The sequence below is a fragment of the Homo sapiens genome, chromosome 1 (assembly GCF_000001405.40).
Source record: "Homo sapiens chromosome 1, GRCh38.p14 Primary Assembly".
Classification (NCBI taxonomy): Eukaryota; Metazoa; Chordata; class Mammalia; order Primates; family Hominidae; genus Homo; species Homo sapiens.
The window spans coordinates 22,673,161-22,684,401 of record NC_000001.11 but is presented as its reverse complement, the minus strand read 5'-3'; the positions used below and the strand labels follow the sequence as shown (position 1 = coordinate 22,684,401).

At 52.6% G+C, this 11,241-nt stretch overlaps 2 annotated features.

Moving 5' to 3' along the window:
• Positions 6,175–6,713: an enhancer, noted in NCBI's record as "H3K4me1 hESC enhancer chr1:23004182-23004720 (GRCh37/hg19 assembly coordinates)". NCBI's record gives its function as "activates a minimal SCP1, AML or CMV promoter by ChIP-STARR-seq in primed H9 embryonic stem cells {active_cell/tissue: H9 hESC(primed)}" and the evidence as "EXISTENCE:reporter gene assay evidence [ECO:0000049][PMID:30033119]".
• Positions 6,746–7,268: an enhancer, noted in NCBI's record as "H3K27ac-H3K4me1 hESC enhancer chr1:23003627-23004149 (GRCh37/hg19 assembly coordinates)". NCBI's record gives its function as "activates a minimal SCP1, AML or CMV promoter by ChIP-STARR-seq in primed H9 embryonic stem cells {active_cell/tissue: H9 hESC(primed)}" and the evidence as "EXISTENCE:reporter gene assay evidence [ECO:0000049][PMID:30033119]".

Here is an 11,241-nt window from a genome sequence, read left to right as displayed (position 1 = left end):
GATGGAAACCTGGATATCACCTTGGCGCCTTCCCCTTCCCTATGCTGCTCTTTCCAACCAGTTGCCAGCTCCTGCCACTCCACTCTTTCCACCCTCTGCCACTCGAAGTCCAAGCTGCCTGGGCCCTGCTGCGGCTCCAGCTGGCTTCTGCTCAGGTTTGGCCCACCCATCTCCACATGGGGACTAACGTGGTCTCCACCACATCTCTCTGCTACTCACAACCTTCAGCAGCTGTCCAAGGCTCACAGGATGAATCTGAGCTCCTTGGCCTGGTCTGGCCTTGCCTGCGTCACTCACCCTCTCTAATCCAGGCCATCTGAATTTTTTTTTGCCTTCATGGATGTGCCATGCACTTGTTGGCTCTCAGCCTTTGCATACTGCCTGGAAGTCCCCCGGCCCCTCTCCCCAGCAACCCATGTACAGCCCCACCCTTTGGCTCCTGCGTTTCCATAGTCCCTGTACTGACTTCCCCATCATCATGTCACACATGATTTTAACTATTTTCTCATCAGTTTCTCTAGATCAATGGAAAGTTGCATGAAAGGAAAGTCTTTCTCTCCCCCAGCACACAGCACTGAGCCGTGTGCTTAGTAGAGACTCAGAGCTCTGAGTAATATTTGTTGAATGAATGAATGAGTGAATGAATGAATGAATGAGGCATGATGCCTGATCCAAAGGAGCTCAGAGGCTCCAAGACAGACCTTACAATATAGAGTGCTATGAGGTCCCCCCACTCCCTACCACCAGGGAGAACAGCATGGCAGGGGGAGCTACAAGAAGGCAGAGGAGGGAGCAGCAAATTTTGAGGGAATTTCTTTACAATACAGGTGACATTCTCTGCTGTATCTTGAAGGTTGAATAGTTTACTAGGCAGAGAATCAGGGGAAGAAGAACCCTTTTTTTTTTGAGATGGAGTCTTGCTCTGTTGCTCAGGTTGGAGTGCAGTGGCGTGATCTCGGCTCACTGCAAACGCCGTCTCCTGGGTTCAAGCAATTCTCCTGCCTCAGCCTCCCGAGTAGCTGGGATTACAGGCACATGCCACCATGCCCAACTAATTTTTGCATTTTTAGTAGAGACGGGGTTTCACCACGTTGGCCAGGCTGGTCTCGAACTCCTGACCTCAGGTGATCCACCCGCCTTAGCCTCCCAGAATGCTGGGATTACAGGCGTGAGCCATCACACCCAGCCTGAAGAGCACAGTCTTCCTTACCATTATTATTGGCTAATGATGCCTGGGATTGGCATGAAGGTTATTGGTCCAGCAGGAAAGGTGGGGAGGGCATGAAGTTATGTACTTGTTATCTGAGGGTGGCTCACACTGCCTTCCTCAGAGTTTTCCAGATAAGAAAATGGTGTAAGTCAGGACACCAAGTTGGCTTGAGTGAATACATGGAGTTTATGGATGCACATCATTGAAATAACCAGGAGTGAACTCCAGGCATGGCTGGATCCAGGTTCTCAAGTGATGTCATCAGTACTCCATCTCTTGACTCTGTTTTCCTCTCCAAGGGCTTTGTCTACAAGCGTTCTCTCCCCACGTATTGACAAGAGGTCTTTCTGCATAGAAAGCCCAATGAAAAGAGAGCTCTTTTTTCTTTTTCAATATTCTCCCACAAAATTCCTGGATAGACTCTTGTTGGCCTGACATGAGTTGCATGTCCATTTTTGAACCAGTCGCCATGGCTGGAGGAGAATGGAATATGCTGAGTGGCCAGGCATGCCTTAGAGTCTTAAGAGTGGGAGGGAGGATGGGTGGGGGGAGCAGTGTCAGGCCCTCCCAAATTACACAGACAGCAAGTGGGAACAGGAGGTCCCCACAGGAAATCAGGAGGCTGCTGCCAGGAGAAGGGGCTGGACTCTAGCCAGTGAGAGACCCCCAGGGCTGAGAGTCTTCCTGGCCTGGGGATCAGTGGCCAGCCTCCCCTTACATGGAGTACAGAGTCCAGGTACCCCCACGGCACTTGGGGATCAGTCACAGTTGGCTTCCATCTTGGCCCCCACTCCTGGGCTGTGTGACCTTGGGTGAGTTATTTCTCCCCTCCGAGTCTCAGTTTCCTCCTCTGTAAAATGGGATGTCTTCCTAAGAAGAGGAGAAGACACAGGGAAGAGGCCATGTGAAGACAGAGGCAGAGATATGAACAATTCCACCACCAGCCAAGGAACACCGGGGCCACCGAAAGCTGGAAAAGACAAGGAAGGATTCTTCCCCAAGTCTTCAGAGAAAGCAGGTCCCTCCCATGCCTCGATTCCAGACGTTCAGCCTCTGTAACTGCGAGACAATCCATTTCTGTTGTTTTGAGCACCTGGTTTGTGTTATCTTATTGCAGCAGCTCTGGAAGACTGATAACCATCTGAAATGAGACATGATCGTATTTATTTATGGATTTATTCTTCATCCTTCTCCTCAAGGGATCCACTCCATAAGTCCAGGTGCCATCTGTTTTTGTCGCTGCTGTGTCCCTCATGTCTGGAACAGTACCTGTTGCGTAGTAGATACTCACGAAGGATTCCGTCGAATCAAAGAACCCTGGGCCCTGCATGCTGGGAGGATCTGTCTAGTCCAGCCCCAACCTGCTGTTCCAGCCAGGCCCTCCTTGGTCCCCTCCACCCCACTACCCACGCATTTGGCTTTTGACAAATGACTCTGGTGACAGACCATGTTCCCACCCCCAGACACACACAGTGGCTCATGTTATCCTTGAAGAGGCAGTGCAGCCCAGAAGCGACAAGCTTGGAGGTATGGAGACCCCAGAGCCGGGTTCAGTGGGGTCTGGCTTGCCCTGTGGCAACCCCCCCGGCAGGTCCTGTGCCTCTGTTTCCTCCCCTGGAAAATGGGGACAGGATCCCAGCCTCTCAGAGTTACCGTCAGTGCTTGGTATGCAGTAGGTGCTCAATAAATGGTGGCTGTGGGACAGGTGCGGTGGCTCACTTCTGAAATCCCAGCACTTTGGGAGGCCGAGGCAGGTGGATCACTTGAGGCCAGGAGTTCGAGACCAGCCTGGCCAACATGGAGAAAACCTGTCTCTACTAAAAATACAAAAATTAGCCAGGCGTGGTTGTACATGCTGTACTCCCAGTTACTCAGGAGGCTGAGGCTGGAGAATCGCTTGAACCTGGGAGGCAGAGGTTGCAGTGAGCCGGGATAGTGCCGTTGCACTGCAGCCTGGGCAACACAGCAAGACTCCAGCTAAAAAAAAAAAAAAAGGTAGCTGCGGTCAGCTCTCCTTGGATGTCCCAGATGTCCCGTCTTCCCTGTGAGGCTGGCCTGAGCCCAGTCCTCCTGCAAGAAGCCCTCCCTAACTACCCCACCCTAGGGCTGGCTCTCCCTAGCACAGACTCACTGAACGGCTCCCTTGCCGCTCAGCACAGTCTGTCTGGGATGGTGAATTCTCTGTTGGCACACACGTGGCCCATCTCCACAGCCGCCTCAGCCGTTGGCCATGTTTTAATGAGGACTTCTCTTTGTAAATAAGGAAGCAGGCCTTTGATCTCCCTTTTGGAATCGGCTGTCTTTGATAGCCTGCACTGAGGAACTGCTAAACGTCTGGCTGGAATTCAAGTCTGGGCACTGCTGCCACTCGCTGCCAACCCCGGGCAGGTTGCCTCCCTTCTCCCAGCCTCAGTTTCCCCCTAAGTAGAAAGGGCCTGGGTAGAGCAGACAATCTGTGGTCCATAAATTAGCCCATCCATGAATTCAGCAAAATGCCACCTTAGTGCCAGTTTCTTTGGTAACCTCCCTTTCTTTAGTTTCAAGCACAAATCAGCAATTAGCTCCAGTTCCCTGATGAGGGCTAATGAGGCCAGGAGAGGTAAAGTGACTTCTCCAACACCCTCAGCCAGGCATGAAGCAGAGGGGGGATTAGAACCTAGGTTGTCTGACTCCTGGTCTCGCTTATTTCTGTGACCTCTCACCCTCCAAGGCCAAGGTTAACTGGGAATGCGTTGGTCTAGTGGTGACATCTTGGAGTCAGTCCGAGTCAGGACATCCCCAGGCCTGCTCTGCTGTGCTCTGCTCTGGGAGGGGGGCAGTCTGACAGCTTTGGGCAGGACATCAGGCACTAAGATTTGGAGGAGGGACCATTTTCAAAGGTGAATACAGTTCTTATGCAACCCTCAAAGGGCTCAGTGGCTCTGGTTCTTGGGGGCAGGGCACTTGTGGAGGCCGTGTTCTTCATGTGTGCCCACTCCATGCACAGAGGAAGAGATAAGACTTGGAGAAGAAAAGGAGTTACATAAGGTTGGTGACAGGGCTGGAACTGACCCCAAACCATGGCCTATCTTGCACTAACTGTACCTCCATACCCCAGAGGGGGCCTGTCAGTGGGGGAAGCTCCCAACAACCCCCTGGTATATGGAGGGGAACAGAAACAGGCTCAAAGCCACACCGTCAGGTTCCCTGGGAACCGTGTCATGGGCAAGAGTTGGGGGAGGAGCAGCTGGAAGGGGAAAGACGGTGAATGTGAGAGAGATTAAAAGAGACATTAAGAGAAAAAAAAAGAGACAAAGAGAGGGCAAGCAGGGGGAAAAGATGGAAGGAAGGAGGGAGAGACGGGGAGGCAGGAAGGGAAGAGAAAAGAGAGAATGAATAATGGATTCATTTCCATTTTCTGAGCAGAACCCATTTCCAGATCTAGGGGAATGCCCGGGGCAGAATGGCTAACTCAGCCTGCTCGACAGGAGCATAGGGACCTTCACCTCCTTGTCCCCTGCCCTTGTCCCCTGCCCTTGTCCCCTGCGTGGCTCCTTGGTGGACAAGGCATGGAGCAAGGCTGGTGGGATTCAGGGCCAGATCCCACTGAGAGATGGGAGAGGGTGACTGAGGGGCCTGGGCCATGCTCAAGAGCCAAGTGATCTTCAGTGAGCCACAGCCCCTCTCCCAAGCCTCAGGTTCCAAATCTGCAAAACAGTCAGAGCTGGGGCCGCGCGCGTCTGTGTGTGTGTATGTGTGTGTGCGTGTATGTGTGTGTGTGTGTGCATGTGTGCATGTGTGTGTCTCTGTGGGGGTATATGTGTGTGAGTATTTGTGTGTATATGTATGTGCATGTGTGTGTCCATGTGTGTATTTGTGTGTGGTGTGTGTGGTTATGTGCGTGTATGTGTGTGACAGTGTATGTCTGTGTGCATGTGTGTATGCGTGTGTGCATGTGTGTATGTGTGTGTCTCTGTGGGGGTGTGAGTATATGTGTGTATATGTATGTGCATGTGTGTGTGTGTCCATGTGTGTATTTGTGTGGTGTGCGTGGTTGTGTGTATGTGTGACAGTGTATGTCTGTGTGCATGTTTGTGTATATATGTGCATGTGTGTGTGCATGCATGTGTATTTATGTGGTGTGTGTTGTGGTTGTGTGTGAGGGTTTGTATATCTGTGTGTATGTGTGTGTGCATGTGTGTATGTGTGTCTCAGGGGGGATATGTGTGTGTATGTGGTTATGTGTATATGTGTGTGAGTGTATGTGTGTGTATGTATGGGTGTGTGCATGTGTATGTATTTGTGTGTGGTGTGTGGTTTGTGTGTGTGTGTGTGCATGTGTGTATGTGTCTCTGTGGAGGGATGTGTGTGTATGTGATTATGTGTGTGTGTGTATGTCTGTGTGTATGTGTGTACGTACATGCATGTGTGTGCATGTATGTATTTGTGGTGTGTGTGGCTATGTGTGTGTAAGAGTGTGTATGTCTGTGTGTATGTGTGTGTACATGTGTGTCTCTGTGGGGGGATATGTGTGTATGTGGTTGTGTGTGTATGTGAGAGTGTATGTCTGTGTGTATGAGTGTGCGTGTGAGTGTATGTGTGCATATGTATGTCCGTGTGTATGTGTGTGTGCATGTATTTGTGGTGAGTGTGGTTATGTGTGGTTGTGTGTGTGTGTATGTGGGGGGTATGTGTGTGCATGTGTGTGTGGGAGTGGGGTGTGTGCATGTGTGGTTATGTGTGTGTGTATGTGTGTGGGGTGTGTGTGTGCATGTGTATGGTTATGTGTGTATGTGTATGTATGCGCGTGTATGTGTGTATATTTGTGTGTGCACACATGTATGAGTGTATGTGTGTGTGTGCAAACGTGTGTGTGCACGTGTGTGTGTGTGTGTGTGTGTGTAGGAGGCAGCATTTGGGCTCTGATGTCCTGGATGCCACCACGCCTGGGCTCTGGGCCTCTCGTGGGTGGGAGGTGGGGCAGCTGGTCGATAGCCCCCTCCCTGGGTGGATTCAGCCTGGGCCCCTGCTGCGGCCTCCCACGCATCCATTGCCTCCCTCCCCCTCTCTCCAGCTCCTTCCTTACTCTGCCAAACCAACCCCAACCATGGAAAAAAGGAGTATTTGGGGCCAGCCATTAGTGAGCGGAAACTCTTTGTTTCCTTCTCTTCCTGTTCTGGGATCCATCCTGCTCTGGGCCAAGTAATAACAATAGCAGCTGCCATTATTGGGTGCCTACTGTGTGCCAGGAGCTAAAGTCTTTAGCAGATCATCTCATCAAACCCTCAGAACTACGCCCTTCACAGATCCCCAGTTTCCATAGGAGGAAATCGAGGCTCCTGGGGGTGAAGTGACCTGCCTGAGGGCCCATGCTGGGGGCTGGCAGAGCCCAAGCTTGCACATGAGTGATGGGGGTTGGGACCAGAATGCAGAGGAATGGTAGAGCCAGGACTTGATCGGGTCTGTGCTCTTGGGCAATCACCACCTGCCTACAGACCTCAGTTTCCCCATCTGTTAAAAGAGTTGCAGTAAGCAATGGAGATGGTTGTAGAGCCCATGGCAATGGAGAGACTCAGCAAACTTCAGCTACGTGGATGAAAGAATTCAGATTCAGCCTCCCGCTGAGATCCCAGCTCTGCCACATCGCAGCTGGGTGACCCTAGGCAAGTGACTTAGCCTTACTGAGCCCCTTTGTAAAATAGGGTGCTTCAAGGAAAAGATAGGGGTGCGTAGAAAGGGCCCCACTGAGCGCCTGGCACAGGAGGAAGGACCTTTGATCCCAGCCCTTCCCTGCCTTTCCCCTTCCCCTTGTAGGGGTGTGGGAAGGGAAGGCGTGGGGCAGGAGGGGATTAGCCCTGGGTCCCCCTCCTGGGGCGGCGCTTTTAACCGTGGTCTCCCCCGGGGATCAGCCCTGCCCCCTCCCAGGCCCCCGGCCAGGCCTGTGTTTGCCGTGGGGATCTGGGCTGGCCCGGGCCCCTGCCTTTCATTCCCGGGCAGCTTTTGCTTGCTTTGCGCGCCGTGGGGCCAGGCGGCGGTTATGCCCGCTCCCCAGGAGCAGATGGGCCGCAGTGGGAAAGCGGGCGGCTGGCCCTAAGAGGATTGGCGGCCTTTCTTCCCACCCTTTGTGACGCTCCCCGAGGGCCGCCAACGCACAGACCACAAAGGCCGCTTGTTTGGCCGCCTCTGGGGGCGCAGGGGTCACAGCTGACAGCGGCGCCCTTGGAGACGGTGGCACCCCAGTGCGCGGCAGAGCCGGGAGCACCTGGATCACCCGGGCTGGGGAAAGACGGGGGAATCCTTGTCTCCCTCCCACCTCCCAGAATTTCCCAGGGAGCACTGTTGCATGCAGGGGAGAGGTGCTGGGAGTCGGGGGGACTGCTAGGACCGTCCTTTAGAGGGGGCAGGCCCAGAGAGGGTCTGTCTACACGCCCCCATCACCTCACTGAGAGCTGGAGGCCCAGACAGGTCTGTGACTCAGCCAAGTCACACAGCAAGTTAGTCACCAACCAGGACTGACTCCTAGGGTCCCCAGAGCCCAGCAAAGCTCCCCGCCATCTTGGAAATGTGGTCTTCCTTTCCTGCCAGTTTACTCCGCGTAGCTGTGGGGACCAGGAGAATCTGAGAAAGGGAAGGTTGGGGGCAGCAGAAACTGGAGGGACTTAGCAAGAATAGTCCCAGAAGGGGCTTTTGACAATAGTTTGAGGCCAAGCTCCTAGTGAGAGGTGGAAGCTGGGGAGAGGAAAAGGACAAGAATTATGTCACCCATGAGCTTATTTTGAAAAACTGTTGGCTGGGCGCAGTGGCTCATGCCTGTAATTCTAGCACTTTGGGAGGCCGAGGCGGGTGGATCGCCTGAGGTCAGGAGTTCGTAAACAGTCTGGCCAACACGGTGAAACCCCGCCTCTACTAAAAATGCAGACAAATCAACCGGATGTGGCGGCGTGCACCTGTGATCCCAGCTACTCGGGAGGCTGAGGCAGGTGAATTGCTTGAACCCGGGAGGCAGAGGTTGTAGTGAGCCGAGATCGTGCCACTGCACTGCAACCTGGGTGACAGAGCGAGATTCCGTGTCAAAAAAAAAAAAATTGTTGCGTGCCTGCTCTGCGGTGGGTACTGAGAAAATCAGGAGAAATAAGATCAGGCTCAGTGCTTGGGGCCCTCTGCGTACTAGGAAGACAGATTTGTAGGCAACAAGCTCTAGCCCAGTTTCTCAGCCTTGAGAAAGTGACATTTAGGGCAGATAACTTCTGGTTGGGGGCGGTCCTGTGCATTGCAGGAGGTGTTACAGCATCCTTGGCCTCCACCACCAGATCTCAGTAGCAACCCTGTGACCCCAAAAAGGTCTCCAGACATTGTCAAATGTCCCCTGGGGGGATGCCAACCCCGGTTGAGAAACATTGGTCTAGACCATAATCCTGGTCATTTGTTCATTCATTCCACACATGTCAAGTTCATGCCTATTGCATTTGCCTCTTTGAGGAGAGAGTGAAATAGTTAATGCAGGGATGACATGGGCGTGCGGGTTACCAGGAGGCTCCTAAACAGGTGATATTTGAGCCAGACCTAGAAAGAGATGCTGGGACGGAGAAGATGGGAAAGAGGACATTGTAGGCCGAATTGGCAAAATGGACATTCTGGATTCATTCCTTAGAGGTACTCTGAGGGCCTGCTGTGTGCAGGGCATCTCTGGTGATACCAACAAACTGAGACAGCCCCTTTCCAGCATGCAGAGGCTTTGGGCATGCCGAGAAAGGTCTGCACCCGGTTCAGAGGCCGTGGAGGGATCATAAGTGCTTCCCAGGGAAAGGGAGACAGGGGCTACATCTTGAGGCTTAGCAGGCAGGAGATGGGCAGGCAGGAGAAGGAAGGAAGAGATGCAGACAGAGGAGGCAGCCCCTGCCCAGGCTACAGAGCCTGGGAGCCCAAGGCTTTGGGAGAACTACAAGGAGGCAGCTGGAACCAGGGCATGGCATTCTGACAGTGGAGATGGGGGCATGAAGCTGGAGTGGGAGATGAGGAGACGGACCTACCTGAAGAGCCTGGACTTGATACTGAGTCACTGGGGAGCTATGGAGGGCATTTGAGTAGAGGCATATTTTTGTTTTAGAAAAATCACTGTGGCAGCGGTGAGAAGATGGTTGGAGGGGAGCAGGCAAGAGGCAGGGGGACAGTTGCAGTGGTTCAGGAATGAGATCAGGGTGGCTGTGCACAGGGCGTGCAGGGGACAATCCCACAGACACCCGGGAGGTAAAGGCATTAGGATATGGGCTTGAATGTGGGGTTGAGGGAGCTGGAAGAGGCATCTGGGCAGATGATGGGTGTCTAGCAGGGCAGCCCTGAAATGAATCACCAGATTAGAAACACCAGATAAAAGATTGAGCAGAGAAAGATATGTCCGTGGGTCTCAAAATGAACTGTTTTTGAAACTTTTCCCTTATGCTCATCTTTAAATATCGATAACCAACATTTCTAAAGAGCTTAATGCTCTGTGCCAGGCACTGTTCTAAATGCTTCATGTACATTCACTCATTGAGTCTTTAAAACAATGCATCGAGGGAGTTGCTTTCCATCATCTCCATTTTGCAGATAAAGAAACTGAAGCACAGAGAAGTAACTTGTCCAAGGTTAACTAGCTAGCAAGTGGCTGAGCCAGGATTTGAACTCAGGCAGTTTGGCTCTAGAGTTTGTGCTGTCTGCTATGCTATACTACCAAAACATAGAGTTTGTTTAAAGCCTCCTTAACTTTGGCTATTTATAAAGTCCTGTAATCTTAATATAAAAGTAAAAAAGCAATGGCATTTTATAGGTTGTGGTGGTGGAATGTAAAAGTGGAATATCATCTTCTGGAATCTCAGGGAGTAGTTGGAAAGTGCCTACCGCCACCTGGTGGCAGTGTACCCCAAGTAGAGCCACGACAAAGGCTAAACCCAGTTTCTTTCAGTATTACTTTATGAAACTCCAGGCCAGGGTGATAAGAACTTACTAGTAATATATACACTACTATTATGAAAAATGTGTCATCTATGAGGGGGCAGGAAGAAAGAGAGGAGGCTCCCAATGCCCAGGCTGCGGGGTATATACTCTGAGGGACTGTGACTGTGGGTACTCAGGATGAGGTTGCCATGTCCTGTCCAGACCCTCTCACTAGTTCCCTAGACGACCAGCATTAGGCATTTCTGAAACAGCTGGTGGGAGCTAGGGGTGGGGTGGGGCGTTACTCTGCAAACATGGGCTGTACCCATGACCCCGACCTTCTAATCCCAGGGCTTAACTGACTTCATTAACTCCAGGGGGCTTGAGAGAGACCCCTCCCCAAAATCATTATCTGATAAACCATACTCAGAAAAGTCCTATTCCTGGGGGCCATGCCGGAAAACCTCCTGCGTGAAGGCAGGGAACGGGAGGTGATGCTCCTTGGCTGCAAACCCTCCGCTGCGTGAAAGGGCTGGGTCTGCCCCACCCCCTGCCTGCCAAGGGGCAACGAGGGAGAAAACTGGGTGAAAGCAGAGCATGCCGGGTAGCCCGGCCAGGAGCTGAGCGGTCCAGCCTCCCACCCCCCACTGTGGTTGCCATGGCAACTGAGGAGGGGAGGGAGGAGGAGAGGAGAGACCACTCGTCCCTCAGACAATGGGAACCTATTCCAGGTCACCCTTGGCCTTATCCTGAGGGACTCGGGGCAGTCAGCAGTTCTGGGCTCTTTGTACCCTGCAGCATGGAGATTTGGGGGCATAGTCTTCTGCTCAGGCCAGGCCGGGGGGCCCCAGAATGGGGGACAGAATCCTTGCCCTTGGAACATCCCAACCTTACCAGAGCTTACCCCTTCCTGGGCTCCCAGATCCCCCAAGATGAAGTTGGGTTCATTTTCCAAGGGCCCCTCCCCCATGGAATAGTGTGACCTTCTGTTGTGAAGTGAGCAGTGGGCACAGGGAGGAGGCAGCAGCCACTTTGGGGACAGGTCAAATATTTTATGAGTAATTTAATATCTGGAGCGCGAACCACTGAGCGGAGAACTCGTCAGCTGCCGGGAGCGAGAGCTGGTCTGGTCCTCATAA